At 56.0% G+C, this 23,005-nt stretch overlaps 3 protein-coding genes across 18 annotated transcripts, besides 14 other annotated features; 2 read left to right on the top strand and 1 right to left on the bottom strand.

Annotated features, from left to right (window-relative positions):
- On the bottom strand, positions 135-1,994 carry ROM1 (retinal outer segment membrane protein 1). The gene is made up of 3 exons (NM_000327.4): positions 1,380-1,994; positions 747-993; positions 135-630 (listed from the first exon to the last, which is right to left on the bottom strand). The coding sequence occupies exons 1-3, from the start codon at positions 1,967-1,969 to the stop codon at positions 412-414; spliced, it is 1,056 nt and encodes a 351-aa protein (NP_000318.2). The 5' UTR covers positions 1,970-1,994; the 3' UTR covers positions 135-411.
- Positions 2,000-2,059: an enhancer, noted in NCBI's record as "active region_4832". NCBI's record gives its function as "activates an Ori minimal core promoter by ATAC-STARR-seq in GM12878 lymphoblastoid cells {active_cell/tissue: GM12878}" and the evidence as "EXISTENCE:reporter gene assay evidence [ECO:0000049][PMID:35858748]".
- Positions 2,110-2,989: a silencer, noted in NCBI's record as "silent region_3420". NCBI's record gives its function as "represses an Ori minimal core promoter by ATAC-STARR-seq in GM12878 lymphoblastoid cells {active_cell/tissue: GM12878}" and the evidence as "EXISTENCE:reporter gene assay evidence [ECO:0000049][PMID:35858748]".
- Positions 2,110-3,392: a biological region, named in NCBI's record as "H3K27ac-H3K4me1 hESC enhancer GRCh37_chr11:62379331-62379890".
- Positions 2,476-13,033, top strand: EML3 (EMAP like 3). Of its 15 annotated transcripts, none has more exons than NM_001300794.2 (22): positions 2,476-2,815; positions 3,655-3,826; positions 3,907-4,164; positions 4,259-4,372; positions 5,555-5,622; positions 5,774-5,897; positions 6,119-6,289; positions 6,446-6,515; positions 6,599-6,709; positions 6,955-7,050; positions 7,430-7,585; positions 8,152-8,293; positions 9,037-9,188; positions 9,271-9,396; positions 9,478-9,609; positions 10,071-10,138; positions 11,050-11,138; positions 11,210-11,307; positions 11,435-11,522; positions 12,004-12,102; positions 12,472-12,492; positions 12,573-13,033. In NM_001300794.2, the coding sequence occupies exons 1-22, from the start codon at positions 2,794-2,796 to the stop codon at positions 12,947-12,949; spliced, it is 2,754 nt and encodes a 917-aa protein (NP_001287723.1). In that variant the 5' UTR covers positions 2,476-2,793; the 3' UTR covers positions 12,950-13,033. The 15 variants fall into 15 exon arrangements, with proteins under 15 accessions (NP_001287723.1, NP_694997.2, NP_001287722.1 ...); NM_153265.3 differs by having other exon boundaries at positions 12,362-12,492; NM_001300793.2 differs by having other exon boundaries at positions 3,904-4,164.
- Positions 2,833-3,392: an enhancer, noted in NCBI's record as "H3K27ac-H3K4me1 hESC enhancer chr11:62379331-62379890 (GRCh37/hg19 assembly coordinates)". NCBI's record gives its function as "activates a minimal SCP1, AML or CMV promoter by ChIP-STARR-seq in primed H9 embryonic stem cells {active_cell/tissue: H9 hESC(primed)}" and the evidence as "EXISTENCE:reporter gene assay evidence [ECO:0000049][PMID:30033119]".
- Positions 3,393-3,951: an enhancer, noted in NCBI's record as "H3K4me1 hESC enhancer chr11:62378772-62379330 (GRCh37/hg19 assembly coordinates)". NCBI's record gives its function as "activates a minimal SCP1, AML or CMV promoter by ChIP-STARR-seq in primed H9 embryonic stem cells {active_cell/tissue: H9 hESC(primed)}" and the evidence as "EXISTENCE:reporter gene assay evidence [ECO:0000049][PMID:30033119]".
- Positions 7,437-7,506: an enhancer, noted in NCBI's record as "active region_4831". NCBI's record gives its function as "activates an Ori minimal core promoter by ATAC-STARR-seq in GM12878 lymphoblastoid cells {active_cell/tissue: GM12878}" and the evidence as "EXISTENCE:reporter gene assay evidence [ECO:0000049][PMID:35858748]".
- Positions 11,673-12,382: an enhancer, noted in NCBI's record as "H3K27ac-H3K4me1 hESC enhancer chr11:62370341-62371050 (GRCh37/hg19 assembly coordinates)". NCBI's record gives its function as "activates a minimal SCP1, AML or CMV promoter by ChIP-STARR-seq in naive H9 embryonic stem cells {active_cell/tissue: H9 hESC(naive)}" and the evidence as "EXISTENCE:reporter gene assay evidence [ECO:0000049][PMID:30033119]".
- Positions 12,891-12,940: an enhancer, noted in NCBI's record as "active region_4830". NCBI's record gives its function as "activates an Ori minimal core promoter by ATAC-STARR-seq in GM12878 lymphoblastoid cells {active_cell/tissue: GM12878}" and the evidence as "EXISTENCE:reporter gene assay evidence [ECO:0000049][PMID:35858748]".
- On the top strand, positions 13,386-22,037 carry MTA2 (metastasis associated 1 family member 2). 2 transcript variants are annotated; one of them, NM_004739.4, is made up of 18 exons: positions 13,386-13,828; positions 14,562-14,629; positions 14,992-15,085; positions 16,612-16,729; positions 16,861-16,924; positions 17,110-17,227; positions 17,539-17,641; positions 17,836-17,935; positions 18,426-18,614; positions 18,719-18,793; positions 18,914-18,972; positions 19,144-19,241; positions 19,360-19,499; positions 19,759-19,987; positions 20,181-20,270; positions 20,617-20,735; positions 20,844-20,992; positions 21,211-22,037. In NM_004739.4, exons 1-18 carry the CDS (start codon positions 13,801-13,803, stop codon positions 21,374-21,376), a joined length of 2,007 nt encoding a protein of 668 aa, NP_004730.2. In that variant the 5' UTR covers positions 13,386-13,800; the 3' UTR covers positions 21,377-22,037. The 2 variants fall into 2 exon arrangements, with proteins under 2 accessions (NP_004730.2, NP_001317221.1); NM_001330292.2 differs by lacking the exon at positions 13,386-13,828 and adding an exon at positions 14,001-14,228.
- Positions 13,691-13,740: a silencer, noted in NCBI's record as "silent region_3419". NCBI's record gives its function as "represses an Ori minimal core promoter by ATAC-STARR-seq in GM12878 lymphoblastoid cells {active_cell/tissue: GM12878}" and the evidence as "EXISTENCE:reporter gene assay evidence [ECO:0000049][PMID:35858748]".
- Positions 13,805-14,515: an enhancer, noted in NCBI's record as "H3K27ac hESC enhancer chr11:62368208-62368918 (GRCh37/hg19 assembly coordinates)". NCBI's record gives its function as "activates a minimal SCP1, AML or CMV promoter by ChIP-STARR-seq in naive H9 embryonic stem cells {active_cell/tissue: H9 hESC(naive)}" and the evidence as "EXISTENCE:reporter gene assay evidence [ECO:0000049][PMID:30033119]".
- Positions 13,811-13,910: a silencer, noted in NCBI's record as "silent region_3418". NCBI's record gives its function as "represses an Ori minimal core promoter by ATAC-STARR-seq in GM12878 lymphoblastoid cells {active_cell/tissue: GM12878}" and the evidence as "EXISTENCE:reporter gene assay evidence [ECO:0000049][PMID:35858748]".
- Positions 13,991-14,070: a silencer, noted in NCBI's record as "silent region_3417". NCBI's record gives its function as "represses an Ori minimal core promoter by ATAC-STARR-seq in GM12878 lymphoblastoid cells {active_cell/tissue: GM12878}" and the evidence as "EXISTENCE:reporter gene assay evidence [ECO:0000049][PMID:35858748]".
- Positions 14,321-14,370: an enhancer, noted in NCBI's record as "active region_4829". NCBI's record gives its function as "activates an Ori minimal core promoter by ATAC-STARR-seq in GM12878 lymphoblastoid cells {active_cell/tissue: GM12878}" and the evidence as "EXISTENCE:reporter gene assay evidence [ECO:0000049][PMID:35858748]".
- Positions 16,109-16,248: an enhancer, noted in NCBI's record as "active region_4828". NCBI's record gives its function as "activates an Ori minimal core promoter by ATAC-STARR-seq in GM12878 lymphoblastoid cells {active_cell/tissue: GM12878}" and the evidence as "EXISTENCE:reporter gene assay evidence [ECO:0000049][PMID:35858748]".
- Positions 22,038-23,005: the final 968 nt, after the last annotated feature.

The following is a 23,005-nucleotide window of genomic DNA, read 5'->3' as shown; positions in this document are numbered from 1 at the left end:
CTGATCCTTACAGATGTGGGCTCCTGTTGCTGCACAGGTCGAGCCAGGGTCCAAACTTTGGAGTCCTAGCTGCTCCATCAGACAGAAATCAGTTCTCCCAGGCCCCCATCCCCTTGACAAGAAAAAGCAATTGCTTCCATCCAAAAACTTTATTGAGTCTATATCAGAATCAGCCTCCAGGCCTTCTCATGTCACTTTCCCATCACTCTGTTCTTTGCTGTTCCCTGGTGGTTCTGACTACAAGGGCTAGGCCCTAGGACATCTGGTTTTCTTTCTTACCCCAGTCCAGCTCGCTGACTATCCTTAGCCCCTCTAATCCTACGATCCCCCCAACCTGGAGCCTTGGTAAGGAGTTGTGAGGTTTTCAGACTTGTCCATCCCTCCCTCTTCCTCACCCCAAGCTCCAGGCCTCTAGGCCTCAGATAGATCCTCCTTGGGAGGTGCTTCTCCTGGTGGGGCCTCCTCAGGTGCTGGCCTGCAGGCAACCCCTCCCTGTAGCCATGCTGTTTTCAGCATATCTTTCAGCCCACTGGGAAAGAGATAGCCCTGGGTCTCTCCTCCCGCATCAATGACCCCTCCAAGCCCCTCCAGTGCTGTTTGCAGGTACCGCAGGCCAAGGAGCACCAGAGCCTGTGGGGGAAGCAAGGGGAAAGAGTCAGGGAGAGTCAGCGGTTCCAAGAGGCCCAGGGTTGGAGGCAGGGAGGAGTCCCGGGTGGGAGGAGGTGTCAGATGCTTTGCTGACTCACCTGCAGTAGGAAGGTGACAGCCAGCATGCTACCCAGTGTGCCTGCCAAGTCCTGCAAGTGCTCCAGCAGCACCTCATGGCACCCTTGGGCCCAGAGGTTTTGGTTGGGTTGTCGGGGATCGAACAGGGGGTGGGCGTAGGAGTCTGAAAGACGGTTTTGCAGGCAAGGCCGGGGTGAGTGGGGGTTGCAACAGGAGAAAGGGACCCCATCAGTCAGGTATAGGCCTTCTACATTGCTCTGGATCCGGCTGCAAAGGGAGGGACAGAGGGGTTAGGATGTCTGGAGATAGAGGCCTGGGGGAGGGACTGAAGGGCACAGGTGTTCAGAAGGGAAAAAGAATAGTAAAACATTTACTGACTGCTGTACTATGTGCCAGCCAAGCATAATTCACATCTTCACAACAACTCTATCAGATAAGTACTATTATTTCCATTTTACAGGTGAAGGAATGGGCCCAGGGTGGTTTGGTAACATGCCCTGGGTTTCACAGCTAATAAATGGCAGAGCTGTAACCAGTCTCTCAGCCACTATGTTCTACTTATTGCCCCTCTGAGCGAGGTGGGGATTCAAGGCAGCAGGAGGGAGCCTGTCCAGGGAGGAGGAGGAGGAGGAAGGGAGACGCAAATCACTCACTCAGCCACATCCCGGTCACCGGGATCCAGGTAACGGCTGCTGACCCACTGGACCCCAAACCAATCCTTGTACCCGTGGCGCCCGCAGCAGTGGTACCTCAGTTGCAGCTCATCCACCAGCCTTTTGGCCTGACAGTGCCCAGGCACCTCTGTGTCCTTGTAGTGAGCCAAGGCAGTCACCAGGCCCTCCTCCAGCGCCTCATCCAGACTCCCAGGCAAAGCCAGGGCTAGCCCGAGGCCGACGACCAGGAGCCCCCCCCCACCAGCCGTGCCAGCCACCAGCAGCGGGCCCAGGACCCCTCGCCAGGGAGGGTATAGAGCTGCATTCAGACTTGCCCGGCTGGCTCCTACACCCACTAGTCCTGTGCCCAGAGCCACCGCGCCCGCTGCCAGGGCAGCCTGGGGCAGGACAGGGAACTGACAGGAGGGAGCCAGGAAGGTGCCAAGGTGCCTTAGCTGGACCAGGAGGTGCCCACTACAGAGGAGGATGACGCCACCAGCCAGCGCCAGCAGCCAGGAGAGGAGCCAGAGCCCTTGTGCCAGGCGGATGCGGGGCTGCAGGGGCAGCACCAGGGGCAACACCGGCGCCATCTCCCATCTCTGCCCAAGGGAATGCAGAGGTGTCAGGGATGGAAGCTGGCTGGGGCAGGATGCTGAGTCAGCCCGGCCCGGCTTGAGCTGGGCTAATGCCACCCTGACCCCAATACCCTGAGCATCCTCCCATCCTCAGCCCTAATAACCCGCCCCCCTGTCAGCCCCAATACAAGATGCCTTGGCCTTGCCCCTTACGAGAAACTCCGCCCCTAGGCCGAGGGCCCGTTTTGTGACCCCGCCCCTGCCCCTCGCGGAAGTGGTGGGGTTGGTCCGCTCAACCCTGAGGGGTTAGGGGCTGGGGGGCGGAGATATCGGGGCGGGCGCTCCCTTCCCCGTCCCCTGGGAATCCGGGGGCGGGGATCCGGGAAGGGCCTGGAGCCGGAGGCCGGGAGTAGGCCAGGGGGTCAGCCGGCTAGCCCCGCCCCCGTACTGAGCGGCGAGGCCCGGACAGGGAGGGGTTACCAAGCGGCCCGGCCCCCCCTCGGGCCCGCCCCCCCTCCCGCGCTTCCTGGCGGCTCCGCGTCCGGCGCCTGTTTGTGCTGCGGCGCTGTGGCACCGGACGGCCCTGCCACCCCACCCCCGGGAGCCGAGAGCGGCCCCGGGAGAGTCCGAGGGCCCGGGGGGGTCTGGAGACTGCGGCCCCGGGCCCACAGCGCCCCCTCCAGGCCCCTTCCCCGCGCCCGACAGCGCCCCCTCGGGGTGGTGGTACGGCGCCCTTCGCGCGCGCCCCGGGGTGCTTCCCCTTCCCCTCTCCCCGGCCGTGGCCCCCGCGGCTTAGACGCCTCCTCCGCCGCCGCCGCTCGGAGCAACCCGGGGGCCGGATGGACGGGGCCGCGGGGCCCGGTGAGTACGGGGCGGGGCGGGCGGCGTGCCCCTTCCCGGAGCGCCCGGCTCGTCGGGTTATGCCAGAGCTGGACGGCTGTCTGGAGGCGTCCCCGCGTGCTCCTCCGCCCCAGGGGCTCCGAGCATCCTCCACAGTTCCTCCGGTCGCCCTCCCTAGTTGCTTGGGTCTTGCTGTCACTTCGGGCTTCCCCAGCGTCATTCTACGCCCCACGTAACTCCGGGCCCCTCGATGTTTCCCTGCCCCCTGCGTTACTCCGGGCCTCTTCTCGTGGTATTTCAGGTCTTTTTCCTTCTGATCCCCACTGCCCCCTGAGACCTTCACTGTGACTCTGCTCACCACTCACACTCTCTCCTGTCACTCTGGATCTCTTTTCTTGTACTCTGGGTCCTCAGTATGACTCCATTCCCGCACCCCGTTCTCTCTCCTGGTGTTCCCCCGGCTCAGTTACTCAGCTTTCGCTGGAGACCTGAGCTTGCTGGGGGCGCGTGGGGAGGGCTGCGGTCCCTGCCCTCACCAGTGCGGCGCCTCTCTCTGTGGCTCCCACGTTCCTCGGCAGTACTCCATATTTCCCCCCCGGTACTCCATGGTACTCCCAGTCTTTGCGGAGGCTGAGACGGCAGCAGGAAGGGAGCTTTGCCAGGTTTCTCGCCTGCCCTGCCAGAAGGAGGCCCTTGATCCTTTACCACCGTCTCCTCCCCTCTGGACGAGCATTCAAGCCTGGGGCTGCCTGAAAGGGGCAGTCCTACCGGACACATGTAAAGTTGTGGGGAGACAGAATCCCCTCTACGCTTTCTTCAGGTGATGGGTACATTCTGAGTACCTCTTGCCCTTTTCCCAGGTGACGGCCCTGCTCGGGAGGCCCTCCAGTCTCTGAGCCAGCGGCTTCGGGTGCAGGAGCAGGAGATGGAACTGGTAAAGGCAGCCCTGGCAGAAGCCCTTCGCCTGCTGCGGCTGCAGGTGCCCCCTTCCTCCCTGCAGGGCTCTGGCACACCAGCTCCTCCGGGGGACAGGTATGCATGTCATCACACCCCATTTTTCCTCCTCCTTGGGGCCTCTGGGGCTTCAGGTTAATTCAACATCTCTCCAGCAGTCTTGCAGCCCCCCCAGGACTGCCACCCACGTGCACCCCTTCCTTGGTGAGCCGAGGCACCCAGACGGAGACAGAGGTGGAGCTCAAGTCATCCCCTGGACCCCCTGGCCTGAGCAATGGACCCCCAGCCCCTCAGGGGGCCAGCGAAGAGCCTAGCGGGACCCAATCTGAAGGAGGGGGCAGCAGCAGCAGTGGTGCTGGCTCCCCTGGCCCCCCGGGGATCCTCAGGCCCTTGCAGCCCCCACAGCGTGCTGACACGTAGGTGTCCTGTGGCCCTGTGGCGGAAGCTGGGAGGGGTGGTAGGATTGCAGAGTACAGTTGGAGGGAATGACCTTCACTATGCCCCCACCAGGCCGCGAAGAAATTCTTCCTCCTCCTCATCCCCCTCAGAGCGGCCTCGGCAGAAGCTCTCCAGGAAGGCAATCTCCTCCGCCAACCTGTTAGTGCGGTCCGGGAGCACAGAGAGGTGGGTGAGGCTTCCCCTCAACCCACCCCGCCCCAGGCGCAGGCTCTCGACTTTCCATATCCCTCACCTCACATCCCTGGTTGGGGTGGGGGGACCTGATTGCCCAACAGGAATAAAGAAACAAACACTTCTGGGGCGCCTGCTGTGTACCGGGCACTGTGCTAAACCCTCGACCTCCTCCATCTCAGTCAGTCCCCACAACATCCTTGGGGGTTAGGTGGTCTCATGCTGCTCATTGCACAGGTGAGGAAGCAGGCTCAGAGAGGGTAAGTCATTTGCCTGGGGTCACACAGCTAGAGTCAGGATTTGAACCTAACTCTTCCTGACTCCAGTTCCCCTACCCTTTCCACTACATCACAGCACACCTTCTGCGATCCCAAGAGGCTTTTCTAGAAGCTTCCATGGCTTTCATGGACGGCTGTCCCTAGAGCTTCAGCCCTCTTTCCGCTGGATCTACCAAGTACCAATCTATTAATACTTACTTCTAGAGGGCAAGAGGACATCCTAGTGGCCGGATGTAGTTGCCTCAGAGTATGTACGGGCCCCAGGACACCCGGATGTTCATTCTAGCCCTGTCCTTGGCCTGTGCTTTATTCTCTGAAGAGACAGTATCACTTTACTGTTATCTAACGACAGGAATCTCTGGAGAGATGTGGACTTTCTTGCTTGCCTCCCGGATCCCTGAGAGGCGGAGCTGGTGTACATTCTCGACTCCCTTTGGTCCCATTTTACGGATGGGGAAATGAAAAGGTCAATAGCGGGGCCTAGTGGCGCGCACGTGTAATCCCAGCTACTGGGGAGGCTAAGGCAGGAGAATTGCTTGAACCCAGGAGGCGGAGGTTGCAGTGAGCTGAGGTCGCACCACTGCACTCCAGCCTGGGCGACAGAGCGAGACTGAGGCCTGGTGGTCTGGAGGAGAGAAAGGGCTCTGGCACCCTGCACTGCCTCTTCCAAGCTTTGTGGCCTTGTGCTGTGCGCTCAGCCCCTTCAGCCTCAATCTTCTTATCTCTTAAATGGAACTAGAAGTCTCCATCTACTAGGGCCCTGATACTCACGAAGCAAACTACAGGCTTGCAGAAGTGACTGTGGTTTCTGCAGTGACCTCTTTTCTTGTGTCCTGCCCCTCCCCGCTTAGGTCTTGGGACCTGACCCCAATCCCTGTGCTTTCTCTCTTCCCAACAGCCGTGGGGGAAAAGACCCCCTCTCCAGCCCTGGGGGCCCTGGATCTCGGAGGAGCAATTACAATTTGGGTATGTAAAGAGGGACAGAGAGGAAAACTTGGATGGCAGGGTTAGGATTTGGGCTGTAGCCCCAGGAGCTATTTTGGGTAGGTGTGGTGGGTAGGGTTCTGCTCTGTCTTTCCTGGAAGGGGGTAGTTGACACCACCCCTTTTCTCTGTAGAAGGCATCTCAGTGAAGATGTTCCTTCGAGGGCGCCCCATTACCATGTACATCCCGTCTGGCATCCGCAGCCTTGAGGAGCTGCCGAGTGGCCCACCGCCAGAGACCCTCAGCCTTGACTGGGTGTATCCTGCCCCTTCCAGTCCCATGAGAACCACCTTTCTCACCTTGGGACCCCTCTTACCTTTACAGTTTCCTCCTGGGTCTGTGGGGACAAGGAGCCTTCTAGATCCTCTCCTACCATCATTCTGCTCTAGGCCCTGCCAGCCAGAAGCTCTGTCTTTCTCCCCTCTTCCTCCTCCTGCCCTTGATCTAACCCTTTCCTTGACCGTGATCTCCACCCCAGTTATGGGTACAGGGGTCGTGACTCCCGCTCTAATCTGTTTGTGTTGCGCTCTGGGGAGGTGGTCTACTTTATCGCCTGTGTGGTGGTGCTGTACCGGCCTGGAGGAGGCCCAGGGGGTCCTGGAGGTGGCGGCCAGAGACATTACCGGGGGCACACAGACTGCGTTCGATGGTGAGGAGTCCGGGGCTGGTGGGCTTGGCAGGAAGAGGGTCTGGGGGGATGGAGAAGCAGGAGAAAAGAGTTGCCTTGCTGCTCTGCAAGCTTGGAGAAGGTGTCTTGGATGGTCTTGAGAGACCCTTTCCCTAGAGTGTCTTCCCCCTGCCTTAGCCTTGCTGTTCACCCTGATGGTGTTCGGGTAGCCTCGGGACAGACAGCTGGAGTGGATAAGGATGGAAAGGTAAGGCCAAAGTCAGGGAGCAGGCAGACATGCTGGAATTGCACTCCAATTTTGCTTCACACTTGTGACTCTTCCTCCACCAGCCCCTGCAGCCTGTGGTTCACATCTGGGACTCAGAGACGCTGTTGAAACTGCAGGAGATTGGACTGGGGGCCTTCGAGCGGGGTGTTGGGGCCCTGGCCTTTTCAGCTGCGGTGAGCTGGCCCTGAAGCCTCTAGACCCCCATTCTTGCCTAGGAACCCCACTCTTGCATGTCACCAGGAAGCCTTGGAAGTTCTGGCCTTCCTGAACCCCACCCAGCTGGTTCTCTTGAGAAAGGGCCATGTGTGTCAACTTTTTCTGCCCTCTCCATCTGTGATGGTACCTCTTAACCTAATGACCATGAACCCCTGGACCTCCAGGGTTCACTCTGCACCTCCTATGTGTCACCCTTCTTCAGGATCAGGGTGCCTTTCTTTGTGTGGTGGATGATTCCAATGAGCACATGCTGTCGGTGTGGGACTGCAGCCGGGGAATGAAGCTGGCTGAGATCAAGGTGAGGAGTCCATGTGGCTTGGAGGGGCTCTGAGGTTGGGGGTGGGAGTGGTGGAGTGCAGGGAGCTCCAGACTCACCCATACATTTCCTTCCTTTTTGGCTGGGTCACATGGGGCAAATCTCCTAGCTTCTCTGACCCTTAGTTTCTTCATTTGTGACATGGGTTCTGACCTCATGAGGCATAATGTGTTAGGTATTAGGGTGATTAATTATGATTGACAGGAAATAGTGCTCTTAGGGGACCAGGGTTTTGAAAGAAGGGTTGTCCTGGGGTTTCTGGACCTCTGCCAGCCAGCTGTCATGATGCAAATTGAGGAGAGTCAAGTAGAATGAAGGTACCCAGGGCTTGGGGTGGCTGAATCTAGTGTCTTCCCTTCAGAGTACAAATGACTCAGTCCTGGCCGTTGGCTTCAACCCTCGTGACAGCAGCTGCATCGTCACCAGTGGGAAATCTCACGTCCACTTCTGGAATTGGAGTGGTGGAGTAGGGGTTCCTGGGAATGGGACCCTTACCCGGAAACAGGGTGTCTTTGGGGTGAGGCATGGATAAGTGGAAGGTGATGGGGAGGGCAGAGTGGAAGAGGAAGCACTGGGCTGAGTACTATGGACCCTGAGGTTCCCTAACCCCCACCTGCCCCTGTGACCTTTTTTTTTTTTTCTTTTGAGACGGAGTCTTGCTCTTGTCACCCAGGCCAGAGTGCAATGGCAAGATCTCGGCTCACTGCAACGTCTGCCTCCTGGGTTCGAGCAATTCTCCTGCCTCAGCCTCCCGGAGTAGCTGGGATTACAGATGCGCGCCGGCTGATTTTTGTATTTTTAATAGAGATACGGTTTCATCATGTTGGCCATCATGCCCGTTTTTTTTTTGTTTTTTTTGTTTTTGAGACAGTGCCTTGCTCTATCACCCAGGCTGGAGTGCAGTGCGGGATTTCACCATATTGGCCAGGCTGGTCACAAACTCCTGGCCTCAGGTGACCCGCCCGCCTTGGCCTCCCAAAGTGCTGGGATTACAGGCATGAGCCACTGCACCTGGCCTGCCCTGCGACTTTTAATCTTTGCCCTTCCCTTTGACCTCTACTGTCTGCTCTCCCCTCCCACTAGAAATACAAGAAACCCAAGTTTATCCCTTGCTTTGTGTTCCTTCCGGATGGAGACATTCTCACTGGAGACTCAGAGGGGAACATTCTCACCTGGGGGCGGAGCCCTTCAGATTCCAAGACCCCAGGCAGGGGTGGCGCCAAAGGTATGTGGCTGGGAGGGGCATCTGGGAAGTGTAGTACTCCAGAGGTTCTGTGGGAACAGAGGAGAGGGTTTCCCATTCCCATCTTTTTTTTTTTTTTTTTTGAGATGAGGTCTTACTCTGTTGCCCAGGCTGGATTGCAGTGGCGCGATCTTGGTTCACTGCAACCTCTGCCTTCCAGGTTCAAGTGATCCTCCTTCCTCAGTCTCCCAAGTAGCTGGAAGTACAGGCACACGCCACCACGCCCAGCTAATTTTTGTATTTTTAGTAGAGATGGGGTTTTGCCATGTTGGCCAGGCTGGTCTCGAATTCCTGACCTCAGGTGATCCGCCCGCCTTGGCCTCCCAAAGTGCTGGGATTACAGGCGTGAGCCACGGCGCCCAGCCAGGTTTCCCACCTTTTTACCTTGAGAGTTGATAGTTCTCTTGGGGGCTAGTCTAGAAGCGTGTGGGCAGCACAGCAAAGGAGAAACGGCTGGAGCTTTGTGTTTGCCAGATCTCAGGTTCAGATTCCAGTTTTGCTATTAGTTGCCTTGCCTTTAGGAAGTTACCTCATTTCTGTGAGTCTCAGTTGTCCTGTTTGTAAAATGGGGAGAATAACAGATGTGTTGGCAGTATGAGGATGAGACATAGTAGTCAGTGCATGCAATGGCTGGGAGTTCTTACTGTATTGCGACAGCCAAGCTGGCCCTGTTTCTCACTCCCCTGCACCCCCAAAACATGATCTACCTGGGGCTTTGCCAACAGAGACCTATGGGATTGTGGCCCAGGCTCACGCTCATGAAGGTTCTATCTTCGCCTTGTGTCTCCGGAGGGACGGGACAGTGCTGAGTGGTGGCGGGCGGGACCGCCGGCTGGTACAGTGGGGGCCCGGGTTGGTGGCCCTCCAGGAGGCTGAGGTGAGGGCTGGGCTGGGGTCAAGGGAGTGAGGGAGAAGAGCAATAGTCAGTGGGCTCTTGACATTCTGCTACCACTCTGCAGATTCCCGAGCACTTCGGGGCCGTGCGAGCCATTGCTGAAGGGCTTGGCTCTGAGCTGCTGGTGGGAACCACGAAGAATGCATTGCTGAGGGGAGACCTGGCCCAGGGCTTCTCCCCTGTAATCCAGGTTGGGGGTTAAGGGCTCAGGGGAGGAAGGGACAAAGGGGTGTGAGAGAGGGGCAGGAGTGACAGTCATGCTGTGCTGCAGGGCCACACTGATGAGCTCTGGGGGCTCTGCACACACCCCTCCCAGAACCGCTTCCTCACCTGCGGCCACGACCGGCAGCTCTGCCTGTGGGATGGGGAGAGCCATGCACTGGCCTGGAGCATCGACCTCAAGGTAGAGCCCTGTGCCCCTGGATCCCCCATGCCACACCCACCAGGACACCTGTGGCCACCACGCCTTCCCCAGCACCTTGCCTTCTGCCTCCCAGAGGTGGCCAGTTTGTACTGGTATGGCTGCACTGGCTACTCAAATATTAATTTTTCTGTACTGACTGGTAAAAGCTGATGCTTCTAGTACCACCTGGGCACTCCCTGCCGCCCCCAGAACCCCTCAGACTTCCTCTTGATCCAGCACCTAAATGGTTAATCTCCAGCACAGCTATTGGCATCAGTTCTGTGGTTAAATATTTTGGTATCACTCCCTGTTCAGGCTCCAGTGATACCCGGGTATCCCTTCCCTCTCTTCCCATCTTCTCCTTGGGAGTAAGTGGCTTTGAAGTTAGGAGGACAAGGGGTTCACTCTGGTTCCCTCACTAGAAAGACATCATCTTGAATTCACCTTCTCCCCTCTCCCAGGAGACTGGTCTCTGTGCTGACTTCCACCCGAGTGGGGCAGTTGTGGCCGTAGGACTGAACACGGGGAGGTGAGAGAGAGCCAGGACTCCCAGGAGGGAAAGCAGGGAGGACTGGGAAGGGTTCCTGGTACTGGGGGAGTGGGCGAGAGTGACCACCTCTACCCAGGAGCCACCTGCGCCTTGGCACTCCTCTGTGCCTCTCCCTGCAGCCCCTGCCACCCGGGCTCCCCTCCTCTTCTGTGGTAACTGTTTCTCCCCCTCCCCCAACCCAGTGTCTCCTCCAAGCCTGGGAGTGGAGGAGGCAGCAGCCCAGGATAGAGAAACAGTGGGAATGGGAGGGGCATAGACAAACACAGGGAAGTGACAGGCTTCCAGCTTGCACAGTGCCTTTGTAGTCGGCCCCTGGTCTGTAGTTTCAGATTACTTTTTCAGACGACATCAGAAGCCCCTCAGCCTTTATCCACACTTAGCTCCTTCCCATTTCTCAGCATAAGAATGCAGTGGTGGCCAGGTGCGGTGGCTCACGCCTGTAATCCTAGCGCTTTGGGAGCTGAGGCGGGTGGATCACTTGAGGTCAGGAGTTCAAGACCAGCCTGGCCAACATGGTGAAACCTCGTCTCCACTAAAAATACAAAAATTAGACGGGCATGGTGGTACGCACCTGTAATTCTAGCTACTCAGGAGGCTGAGGCATGAGAATCACTTGAACCCAGGAGGTGGAGGTTGCGTTGAGATCTTGCCACTGCACTCCAGCCTGGGTGACAGAGTGAGACTCTGTCTCAAAACAACAACAACAACAACAACAAACTAAAAAAGAAGAATGCAGTTGTGACCTGTCTTCTACATCAGAGCCTTTCTGTGTGTGTCTCTGAGCTTCTCTTATTTGCCATCCCCAAGCCTACCCAGGGTGGCCTCCCTGGGGGTCTCCTTACATCCTGCCTTTTCGTCTTCCTATCTGCCTCCACTTCCCTCCCTTCCAGGTGGTTGGTTTTGGACACAGAGACCAGAGAGATCGTGTCTGATGTCATTGATGGCAATGAGCAGCTCTCAGTGGTCCGGTACAGCCCAGGTGGGAGCCACCCCAACCCTGGACTCACATGCGTCCCTGGCCCTTCCCTCTCTGAGTGACTGTATTTGCAGATGGGTTGTACCTGGCCATTGGTTCCCATGACAACGTGATCTACATCTATAGTGTTTCCAGTGATGGTGCCAAATCCAGCCGCTTTGGCCGCTGTATGGTGAGGAAGTTGGGGTGTGTGGTGGGGCATGATAACAGCTGCGAAACTCAGGGGTCTGATGCATCAAGGGGGCTCTGGGGATGGGAAATGGATGGGATACTTTAAAACTCTTGACCTTTGCTCCCAGGGTCACTCCAGCTTCATCACTCATCTTGACTGGTCCAAGGATGGGAATTTCATCATGTCCAATTCTGGGGACTATGAGATTCTTTACTGTGAGTGGCAGTGGAGCAGGACATGGGGAGAGGGTAATTGGAGTGGGTTTTGTGTAGGGGGGGCTGTTAGAGGTGTTGTTAGATAAGGAAGTGGAGATGGGGTTAAAGTGGAGTTGGAATTATATGTAGGAGAAATTTCGTGATTTGGAAACAACTAGTTTCACACCATGTCTTGTTGACTTGAGGGAGTTCAAAAATGCGCTAAGAAAAGATTGTTTGGGAAAAGTTTCTCAGGGCAAGTGTGGAGCACTTGACTTATCTAGGGAGGAGGAACTCGTGGAAGCTGTTAGAACTTCAGCCAGAGCTCAGGACAGGACGCACACAGGGTGGGTTTCACAGGGGGAGGAGGTGATGCTACTACGGTGACCAGATCACATGCCATCGCCGGGTTTCATGCCAGTCTTTCCAGTCTGGCTTTCCCTGGCATCTTCCCTACTGAGGGCAGGGTGAGAGCTGAGCTGGGCGGGCTCCCTCTCCCCAGGGGACGTGGCTGGAGGCTGCAAGCAGCTGAAGAATCGCTATGAGAGCCGAGACCGGGAATGGGCTACCTACACCTGTGTGCTGGGCTTTCACGTCTACGGTGAGCAGGGGCGTGGAAACCTGCTGGAAGGGTGGGGGACAAGGTGGAGCCCAGTTTGGGCTTGGAACGCTGGGCGTGTGTCGTTGGGTGAGAGTCCAGAAACCTGAAGATCCAGCCCAGGAGGCCCCTCGGGACCGGGAAGGCTTGCCTGGAACGCGGCAGTGGGTGGCCGCGGCTGCCGGAGCGCCTGAAATGGTGTAGCTCTGGGCCGTGGGTGGCGGTGGGTAGGAGGTCGGGCTGAGGCCGGCCGCTGTGCTAGGCGTCTGGCCGGACGGCTCCGATGGGACCGACATCAACTCCCTGTGCCGCTCCCACAACGAGCGCGTGGTGGCGGTGGCCGACGACTTCTGCAAAGTGCATCTCTTCCAGTACCCGTGCGCTCGTGCCAAGGTGAGGCCGCGGGGATCGCCGGGGTGGGACCGGTGGGCCCGAGGGCTCAGCCGCCACCGCAACTCTTCCCTCCGGCCCAGGCGCCGAGCCGCATGTACGGGGGCCACGGCAGCCACGTGACCAGCGTCCGATTCACGCACGACGACTCGCACCTCGTCTCGCTGGGCGGCAAGGACGCCAGCATCTTCCAGTGGCGAGTGCTGGGCGCTGGGGGCGCGGGGCCGGCGCCCGCCACGCCCTCTCGAACCCCCTCCCTGTCCCCCGCCTCCTCCCTCGACGTTTGATCGCTGCCTGGCGGGACCGACTGGCCCGGCGGCGTGGCCCCGCCCCGCCCTGCCCTTCCCTGGCCCAATCCCCCACGACTAGGGGCCGACTCTTTCCTGGACTGACTTCGAGACATTCCCGATCGCGCATTTTCCTGGAGGGCGCGAACGGCGCCCCTGCACACACTGTTTAGACCCGCTGGCTGAGCCGGGCAGCCCCAGCCTAGGCCTTGACTCCCGCTGCCTGCTGAGGGGCAATAAACCAGAACCAAAGTCGCCTCCCGGTGCTTTTGTGGGGCGCTGCCGGGCGCCTCCGGGGCTCTGTGGGGTGGGGACGAAGGAAAAGAGGCGTGCGGAAAGGGTAAGGGAGCGTAGACCATTTATGCAAATGACAGGCAAAGCCGCTTGCAAATAACCTGGCGAAGCGCTAAGGCGCGCGAGTCTTTGGGGCGCGAGGAGGAGCTGCAGGGCTCCAGCGAGGACAGAGTTAAGCCCGACTCCTCTCCCGCCCTCGGAAAAGGGGGTGGGGCCGAGCTGCGACGGAAATAGCCGAGCGGTTGCCCGACAGGAGCCGAACTTCTTCCGGAAGTAGCCGATCTGCGGGGTCTCGCTCTCCGACCTGAGCCGAGCAGTGGGCCTTGTTCTCCGGATCGGCCGAAGGTGTTCCGGAAGGAGGCGAACCCTGAGGCGGGCCCGGCAAGCCTTCCCTGCGGCCGGCAGAGCCCAACGACTAGTGGGACTCCGCGGGGGCGGGGGTAGCTGGAGCCTGGCTCTGGCCTGGCAGGAGCCGAGCTCGTTCCGGAAGAAGCCGAGCGGACGGGGGCCAGCCTCAGCGTCCCGGGAGTGAGGCGATAGCTGCGGCGGCGACAGCGCGGGCCGGGATGAACCGCGACGGCTGAGGCAGCGGAGGTGCCGGCTGCGCGGGCCCCAGTGAGACTCCCTCGAAGCGGCAGCCCACCGTTCGGGGCTTTGCCTCGAGCCGAGCCCTGCCCCCGCGAGCCTCCCGGACCCCTTTGTGCGGCCGGAGGCGGCGGCGGGAACGGCCATGGCGGCCAACATGTACCGGGTGGGAGGTGAGTACCGGGCGCAGGGATACGGGGCCCGGGGCGGGAGAGGTTGGGGTAGGGACCTGAGGGGCTCGGCACCGGGTGGCGCGAGGCGCAGCGTATGGGGCAGCGTGGACCGGAGCGCGGACCGGAACCGGAACCGGGAGACGAGGAGAGAGGGTGCGGGGAACCGCGACGCGGCAGGGCTCCGAGACTCCCAGAGAGAAGCTGCGGGCAGCCCCGACGGCACTTTCGGGGCTGCGTCAGGGGCTCCCCGGGGCACGGAGTGGCCTTCGGAACCGGTTCCGAAGGAGCTGACAGGGTAGGGAGGGAACGCGAGGGGCTGGGGCGACGGCTTTGCCACCGCGGGGGAGCCGCCCGGAGGTTTCCTCTTCCCAGGCGTTATTGTGCGCCTCGATTCGAAAAGGTAGGGGCCCTGCGCTAGAGCGGACAATTACTTCGCCGCGACTGGGGTGCAACTCATCGCTGAGTTGTGGGGACTGCAGGGGAACCCCTGCTTCTTGCCTGTTCCTTAAGGCTCTCTTTTGAGTAAAGGATCTAATTTTAGAACTAGGTGCGGTGGGGATGGGGGACATCCTTATTTTCTCTTAGTCTGTCCACTTTCACATCTCAGCGCCCTTTCTACCTGAATCCTTATCTCCTTTTGATCCACTCAGGCCAACTTTCTCTCCTACCCTGGTGCTCTGCGTCTCCCATCTCCTCTGATCTTCGTGGTTCTCCCCCCTCCCTTCCCTTACAGATTACGTCTATTTTGAGAACTCTTCCAGCAATCCTTACCTGGTTAGACGGATTGAGGAGCTCAACAAGGTGAGTGGAGCAGAATCCCTCTCCCTCCCTCCCGCAGTGGTCTCTTCTGAGGTTTCTAACTTCTGGTGGAAGAGAGGATCCTATACTAAGTACCCATTCATATTCGTTCATTCATTCATTGGATGTATTCAGGAAAGGCTATTGAGAGGTTAGCAGGAACTTTACTATTCTGTCTCTTGGGGGCAAAGGAAAGGGATTTGGAAGTCTATCCTTGAATGTAAGTCTTTACTCATATTTTCTTGGGCTTTTTAATTTAGGTCCCTCTGAAACTTACTGTTATTTGTCTCTTTGTGCATTTCTGTTCCCAGATGATCAATTTCCACTGCTACGTTGTTTTGTTTTTGTTTTTTTCCTCCCCTTAGACTGCAAATGGAAATGTGGAGGCAAAGGTTGTCTGTCTTTTCCGGCGCAGGGACATTTCTAGTAGCCTCAACAGCCTGGCTGATAGTAATGCCAGTGAGTATCTTCCTCCCTTTCTTTTTCTCCTACCCATGATCTGAGGCCTGGGCATGTCCCTGCAGGTATTTCCCCTGGTAGCATGCCCAAGGCAGAGGTGTGAGTTTGGGGGTGGGAAATGCCTGGCCTGAGGAGGGAGGCCTGTTTTTACATGTTGGGGTTGGAAGCAGGGTGGAGAGATTGTGATAAGGAAAGCGATAATATGGTTTGTATATGAGAGTAAGAGAGAGATGATAACATTTAGAGTATGAGGACGAGCTTTAGAGAAACAATGGTTTTCTAAAGGGGGGCAGTTTGGGGTACATTGAGACAGTAGGTGATGACTGAAGGTCAACGTGAAGAGGAAGACATTGTACTGAGAAGCCTGCGTAACAGAGAAGCAGGCTTATTTTGTAATCACAAGGTGATGAGAGTACCTGGAAGTTAGAAGATGGCTGGAAGTTTTCTTGCGCTTTTTAATTTCTCACCTCGCCCATTTCCCCGCCCGCCCCCCTCCATTTTACATCTTTCCCTTTTCATTTTGCCCTATCTTCATTCTCTTTAAGGTCTCATCTTCTTTTTTTAAAAAACATATTTTCCTTAGCTTCTTTTTCCTTTCCTGCTTTGGTTTTCTTTTTCCTTCCTTTTGTTCCACCTTTCTAAATTATTTTCCTTTTTCAGACTGCTCTGGGTGAGAAGGGGTTAAAGAGGAGCCCAGCTTACCAAGTTCCTTGGCCCTTTAGGGTTTCCAGCCCCATCTGGCAGGGGCTGACCTTGGCCTTGTCCAATCAGAAGGGGTGTTGGGGGTGTGGTCCCCCTTGCCTCAGCACAGGGTTTCCGGAGCACACAAGCGAGGGGTGGAGCCTACTGCACAACCCCCCCCTTCTCCCTGAGGTTGGGAACAATACACCAATGAGCCTGGGGCTGAGGTTCTTCTGCTCCCTCCCACTTTGGTTGGCGCCTAGCCAGGTTAACCCCTTCCGCTAGGTTTCAGGGCAAGCTGCAGCTCCTTGGGGAGGAAGGTGTTGGCACTGGCTTGAGAGGTGTTGTCCTTGGAAACCCCAGGAACTATTATTAGCCAAGTAGAAAATGAGGGATAGTTAGGGCTGCATGTGATGTTTTAGAGCAAAGAGTCTCCTGAAATTGAAAAGAACTGGTAAACACAGTCTTGTGTGATATTTTTTCATCTTGAGTTCCTGGACCTCAGGCTGGTTTAGCAAGCAAGAGACAAGTGTGATGTTCTTGCTGGCCCGTTGTGGACTTTGGTGTCTGAGTACTGGCAGCTGGGTAGCGATGTATTTCTAGAGCATTCTTCGTACTCTCAGCAGTTCTTCTCTAAAAGCATTACTGATAGAGTTGGGAGCATCTATGATGGGGCATAGAGCTAAGAAGGAAAGCTGGTGGGATAAGGGTATAGAAGGCAGACGCCTGGGAAATGTGAGAAAAAAACAGCCAAGATAGGAAATATTTTCCCTGAGTTAGAGTTTCCAGGGTGGTGTTTTGCTGGATCCATTTCTGACTTGGTTTCTTCCTCTTTAATCTCCCAGGGGAGTTTGAAGAGGAATCAAAGCAGCCAGGGGTGTCTGAGCAGCAGCGCCATCAACTGAAGCACCGGGAACTTTTTCTTTCTCGGCAATTTGAATCATTACCAGCCACCCACATACGGTACAGGACAACTGGGGCCAGCATAGCCTGCGTGCACTTACGTAGAAGATGGAGAGAAGGAGGTGGTATTGAGAGATGCTGTGGGGAGGGAGAGTGGGGCTCACCGGGGTTTTCCAATCTCTCTCCTATAGGGGGAAATGCAGTGTGACCCTCTTGAATGAGACAGATATCTTGAGCCAGTACCTGGAAAAGGAGGTGAGAAAGAGATGTTGAGAGAAGAGCGAGGGGAATGGGTATTGCCCGCAAAAGAGAGGGGGAAAGGAGCACAATGATGAGGTACAGGGTTGCCAGACTGCCGGTCATGGAAACTCAGATACACCTCCCTCCCCGCCGCCTATGTGGATTGCTGCCTTGCTTACCTTGTCTCTCCCCAATTCCAGGACTGCTTTTTTTACTCACTGGTGTTTGACCCCGTGCAGAAGACACTTCTCGCTGATCAGGGCGAGATTAGAGTTGGTTGCAAATACCAAGCTGAGATCCCAGATCGCCTAGTAGAGGGTAAGCAACAGGACAAGACTGTACGGCTACCAGGTTGTCTAATTCCAAGGGGCACTTTAACATTATAGTCTCTGTGAATGGCGTCACCTGGGGTTGTGCAGTGCACTGTCTGCAGGGCTCTCTGCCATGACCCTGACAGAATGGGCCTGTAGGAACCTGAAAAGGGAAAATGGGAACAGTTGGGAAGAGAAGTCGGAGAGTTGATAGAATCCAAGCAGAAGAAGAGAAGGAGGAGGTGCTATTGTGAATGAAAAGACACCAACTGTTCCCCCCTGCCCTCTCCCTGTTGATGCCATTGTTCTTTTCCCCAGGAGAATCTGATAATCGGAACCAGCAGAAGATGGAGATGAAGGTCTGGGACCCAGACAACCCTCTCACAGACCGGCAGATCGACCAGTTTCTTGTGGTGGCCCGGTGAGGGGTGGGTGGATAGGGAAGATGGGCTGGGGGAGGTGTGGACATTGTTCTGAGTCCCATGGTTCTTAGAGATGGACTTTATTTCTTTCATTGCCATGGATGTTTTCCTTCTTTCTCCTTTGGCTTAATTTCCCAGCCCACTTGGGCTTTTGACTTTTCTTTCGCTTTTGACTTCTCAATTTCTCCCTTAGAGCTGTGGGAACCTTTGCAAGAGCCCTAGATTGTAGCAGCTCCATTCGGCAGCCAAGCTTGCACATGAGTGCAGCTGCTGCCTCCCGAGATATCACTCTGGTGAGCAGAAGTTGGTGGGTAGTTGGGCAGGCTGGGTTTTCTGGGGACTTGCAGAGCCTGGGAACAGAAGAGGAGGGTATCTCTGAGGGAGTGGGAGTGTTTTTTTTTTGTTTGTTTTGTTTTGTTTTGAGAGGAGTCTTGCTCTGTCGCCCAGGCTGGAGTGCAGTGGCGCAATCTCAGCTCACTGCAAGCTCCGCCTCCCGGGTTCACACCACTCTCCTGCCTCAGCCTCCCGAATAGCTGGGACTACAGGCACCCGCCACCACGCCTGGCTAATTTTTTGTATTTTTAGTAGAGACGGGGTTTCACCGTTTTAGCCAGGATGATCTCGATCTCCTGACCTCGTGATCTGCCCGCCTCCGCTTCCCAAAGTGCTGGGATTATGGGTGTGAGCCACCGCGCCCGGCCGGGAGTGGGAGTGTTTTAAGGAGCAGGAAGGGAGTGGTGCCAAAAGTTTCAGGTCCTCAGTTGCTCTCCATCTTCCCCATAGTTTCACGCCATGGATACCTTGCAAAGGAACGGCTACGACCTGGCTAAGGCCATGTCGACCCTGGTACCCCAGGGAGGCCCGGTGCTGTGTCGGGATGAGATGGAGGAATGGTCAGCCTCAGAGGCCATGCTATTTGAGGAGGCCCTAGAGAAGTATGGGAAGGACTTCAATGATATTCGCCAGGATTTTGTAAGTGGATGGCACTAGGAGGAGAAGTGGGAGAGATGACAGGTGAGGGAACCAGGACCTGGGGCCAGATGCCAGCTCATTCTTCCTCCCTCTGCCCCCCTTAGCTACCCTGGAAGTCACTTGCCAGCATAGTCCAGTTTTATTACATGTGGAAAACCACAGACCGGTATATTCAGCAGGTATTATCTGGGCTGGGGAGGGTGGACCATAGGCTACCTGCTGACCTCTGCCTTTGAAGTTGATGACATTCTCCCTGCTATGAGGCTCTGATCCTTCTCTTTCTTTTTACCTTCTTACAGAAAAGGTTGAAAGCTGCTGAAGCAGACAGCAAACTGAAACAGGTCTACATTCCCACCTAGTAAGTGTGGTGGGTAGGGGAGACCAGAGTGTTTTCCTTCCCTTCCCCTAACTTGTGCCTTCCTCAGTGATTGGGGGTGGGCAGGAGGTAGGGGCACACTGAGAGTGGAAATTGATTCTTTTCCTTGACCAGTTTCTTGTTTTTTTCCCTTCTCCTCGCCTTCCCCGTTAGCACTAAGCCAAACCCTAACCAGATCATTTCTGTGGGTTCAAAACCTGGCATGAATGGGGCTGGATTTCAGAAGGGCCTGACTTGTGAGAGTTGCCACAGTGAGTTACGGGGGCACTGGGATGGTGGGGATGGGTGGAAGGCCTGCTGTGGCTCAAGAATCTGAGGGGCTTAGGTAGTATGCTTCTTCCCTGTCCCCCTCCTCTCCGTACTCTACAGCCACACAGTCTGCTCAGTGGTATGCCTGGGGCCCACCTAACATGCAGTGCCGCCTCTGTGCTTCCTGTTGGATCTACTGGAAGAAGTATGGGGGACTGAAGACCCCAACTCAGCTTGAGGGGGCCACTCGGGGCACCACGGTAAGGATCAGTGGGAAGAAAAGCAGGGGAGAGCAGTAAGCATATTGATGGTGAGCTTAGGTGAAGGCCAGAATATTCAACTCTTTATATGGTGATGGTTTGATGGACGGGGTGCTTGATGCTGGTTGGGGAGACACATAGGCCAAGAGGTCAGTAAAGAGATTAGACAGGAATAAATTGTCCCCTGCAGGGAATGGAAGAAAGAAGGGAGCCTCAGTGCTGATTTCTGCTCTCTCTCTTTCCTATGCTCTTCTTCTAGGAGCCACACTCAAGGGGTCATTTATCCAGACCTGAAGCTCAAAGTCTCTCTCCTTACACAACCAGCGCCAACAGGGCCAAGCTACTGGCTAAGAACAGACAAACTTTCCTGCTTCAGACCACAAAGCTGACCCGTCTTGCCAGACGCATGTGCAGGGACCTATTACAGCCAAGGAGGGCCGCCCGACGGCCTTATGCTCCTATCAATGCCAATGCCATCAAAGCAGAGTGTAAGGGCAGGGAGTGGTGGGACTGGTGGTGGGTTTCGGATTGCTCTGCCCAGAGACCGTTGTTTCTCTGGATGTCTAATAACAGGAGGGATAGTAGGCCACAGATAATTTTTTTAAGATTAGAGTTGGCTTCTGGCCTTAGAGGAGACCTGAATGGTGAAGCCCTTCAGAAGCTTTCTTCTTTGTTCTCCAGGCTCCATTCGACTTCCTAAGGCCGCCAAGACTCCATTGAAGATTCACCCTCTGGTGCGGCTGCCCCTGGCAACTATCGTCAAAGATCTGGGTATGGGATGGGGACCAGTGAGGTTGGCATCAGGCTCCCAGTCCTTTCCCTGTCTGACATCTCTCCCCTTGCTTTTTTTCTTCCTCATAGTGTCCTCAGAGATTTAGTCTAACAAACTGTACTTTTGTTGTTTAATAATTTTTTTTGTAAACTATTCAGTATTACTGTACTGATTTGATAAGGTCATACTGATATTTGAAATACTAGTGATAGCTTGCCAGAACATTCCCCCATTGCTACTTTTGGGGATGCCCAGGTAAACTGCTGGTCCAGGGAAGAGAGATGGAAGTAACAAAGGGGAACTGCGTGGGAAGAAAAGGTGCGAAAGTTTTCTGTTTTTTTCCAGTGGCCCAGGCACCCCTGAAACCAAAAACACCTCGGGGTACCAAGACACCGATCAACAGAAACCAGCTGTCCCAGAACCGGGGACTGGGGGGCATTATGGTGAAACGGGCCTATGAGACTGTGAGTTGACAGAAAGGGGTGGGCCAGATTGAGTTGGGTGGGCTTTTGTCTCTCATAGGAGTCTGAGAGGGTCCCTTCCCTCATTGTGCCATCCTACCCCTTTTCCAGATGGCAGGGGCAGGGGTTCCTTTCTCTGCCAATGGAAGGCCTCTGGCTTCAGGGATTCGTTCAAGCTCACAGCCAGCAGCCAAGCGTCAGAAACTAAACCCAGCTGATGCCCCCAATCCTGTGGTGTTTGTGGCCACAAAGGATACCAGGTAAGGCGTCTACCATGGGAGGGGCTGAGAGGGACAGTCCAGGCTGGTGAGTGTGGGGAGTAGGAGTATCAGAGCAAGAGCTCCAGGAAAGTTGTGGATGCAGGGTGGGGATGCCAGAAAAGAATGGGCCAGAAGGCATAATTGCAGTGTGGGGCTTCACCTGGAGGTCTTAATGTTCTCTAAGCCTTTTCTGTTTCCCACTTGCTCTTTCTGGCCAGGGCCCTACGGAAGGCTCTGACCCATCTGGAAATGCGGCGAGCTGCTCGCCGACCCAACTTGCCCCTGAAGGTGAAGCCAACGCTGATTGCAGTGCGGCCCCCTGTCCCTCTACCTGCACCCTCACATCCTGCCAGCACCAATGAGCCTATTGTCCTGGAGGACTGAGCACCTGTGGGGAAGGGAGGTGGGCTGAGAGGTAGAGGGTGGATGCCCAGGGCACCCAAACCTCCCTTCCCTTTCGTGTCGAAGGGAGTGAGGAGTGAATTAAGGAAGAGAGCAAGTGAGTGTGTGTCCCTGGAGGGGTTGGGCGCCCTCTGGTGTTACCACCTCGAGACTTGTCTCATGCCTCCATGCTTGCCGATGGAGGACAGACTGCAGGAACTTGGCCCATGTGGGAACCTAGCCTGTTTTGGGGGGTAGGACCCACAGATGTCTTGGACAGTTTTGGGGGGAGGGTTTTTTAATTTTTTAAAAATTTTGCCTCCCTTTGTGAAAGGGGATGGGGAGGGGAAGAGTAAACAGATAACAGGTGGTGGTACCTGGTTGGGGGAGGGGGGCGTGCACTGCCATGTCTTTTTTTTTTTTTTTTTTTTTTTTTTTCCTAATTGGGGGTTTCTCTTTCTGTCCGGTGTCCGGACTTTCCTAATTGGAGTTTGAGGCCCCTAAGCTGGCATCAACCCCAGGCCACGCTCGCTCTTTCCTTCCCTCCCCTCCCCCTCTGCCTTTTGTACGCCAGTTCTCAGAAATAAAGATCTTTTGTCCGTTTTTTTAACCTCGGATTCTGTAATTGGTTCTTATAGTAACAAATAAAAAGCTGTTTTCTTCAGCTTCTCCTGGCTCAGCTGTTCTTTGCCATGGGTGTGTGTTGTGTGTGTGTTGGGGGTGTCTTTGAGAGGGAAAATAAAGGACAAAGGACAACAAAGGAGGTACAGATGGTTCTTGCCCTGGGAACAGCTTTATGAGATAGGCAGCCTGGACCCAGGCGGCTTGCTCCAGCTAGGCTTCTTGTGGGACCCAAACTGCTCCCCAGCTCCCAGTGGTGCTGGAGCTCAAGAACCATCTTGGCCCAGATTCATTCAAAGGAGTTGAGATGAGCTTTCTGGATGACTGGTGGCCTCCATAGGAAAGGGGAATGGGGGTGTTTCTTCCTCTGTTTCCCACCTCTTACTCCCCTCTCCCTTTTGTTTAAGGAATTCTGGAAGTTGCTAGCAGCCAGGGTAACATGTATACCCCCTTGGGGGTGGTGGTGGGGTTATAGGAGGATCCCCTCACCTAGCTGTGTGGTGTATTTGGCAGACGAGAATTCTACCACTGAACCACCCTAGCACCTCTGGGTGTATGTGTACAGCCTGCTGCTTCAGGATCCTCAAGGCCAGTCTCGATGATATCCCGATCCACTGTAGCACTGTTTCCTGCCTTAAAGGTTTGGGACACTGAGATTAGATGCCTGAGCTGGGCCCATTAGAAGGAACACCTTAGGATAGAGAACAAGAAGTTCAGCCTGCTGTGTGCTCCTTGGGCACTTCCTTTAGAGATGGGAAACGGCCTCAACAGTTGTGACTTGTTCAAGGTCAAAGACCTTGGTGTCTGCCTTAGGTCCACTGCTCTTTGCGCCATTCAAAGCTGTGGGCTGATAACCACAGCACAAGCTGCTGAGCCCATCTGATAGTTCTCTCCACCTCGTTATGGTCCCTGTCCCTAGGGCATCCCCAGCTCCCCGTAGTCCCTCCCTGTCCTGAGCCTACACCTCGGCGGCGTTGGGATGAACTGACAATTATACCAGGAGGGGGTTGA

Source organism: Homo sapiens, chromosome 11, assembly GCF_000001405.40.
Source record: "Homo sapiens chromosome 11, GRCh38.p14 Primary Assembly".
NCBI classification, from domain to species: domain Eukaryota; kingdom Metazoa; phylum Chordata; class Mammalia; order Primates; family Hominidae; genus Homo; species Homo sapiens.
Note: the sequence above shows the minus strand (reverse complement) of the source record. Positions and strands in the feature narration are given on the sequence as shown.

Coding starts and splice junctions, on each gene's coding strand:
- EML3 (XM_006718489.5), top strand. CDS start 3,400: ATGGTACTCCCAGTCTTTGCGGAGGCTGAGACGGCAGCAGGAAGGGAG. Junction 9,189..9,270: donor TGGCCCTCCAGGAGGCTGAG/GTGAGGGCTGGG, acceptor ACCACTCTGCAG/ATTCCCGAGCACTTCGGGGC. Junction 9,397..9,477: donor GCTTCTCCCCTGTAATCCAG/GTTGGGGGTTAA, acceptor GCTGTGCTGCAG/GGCCACACTGATGAGCTCTG.
- MTA2 (NM_004739.4), top strand. CDS start 13,801: ATGGCGGCCAACATGTACCGGGTGGGAG. Junction 15,086..16,611: donor CCTGGCTGATAGTAATGCCA/GTGAGTATCTTC, acceptor TTAATCTCCCAG/GGGAGTTTGAAGAGGAATCA. Junction 16,925..17,109: donor GCCAGTACCTGGAAAAGGAG/GTGAGAAAGAGA, acceptor CCCCAATTCCAG/GACTGCTTTTTTTACTCACT.
- ROM1 (NM_000327.4), bottom strand. CDS start 1,969: ATGGCGCCGGTGTTGCCCCTGGTGCTGCCCCTGCAGCCCCGCATCCGC. Junction 994..1,379: donor GGTGACCGGGATGTGGCTGA/GTGAGTGATTTG, acceptor CTCCCTTTGCAG/CCGGATCCAGAGCAATGTAG. Junction 631..746: donor CTGTCACCTTCCTACTGCAG/GTGAGTCAGCAA, acceptor CTTCCCCCACAG/GCTCTGGTGCTCCTTGGCCT.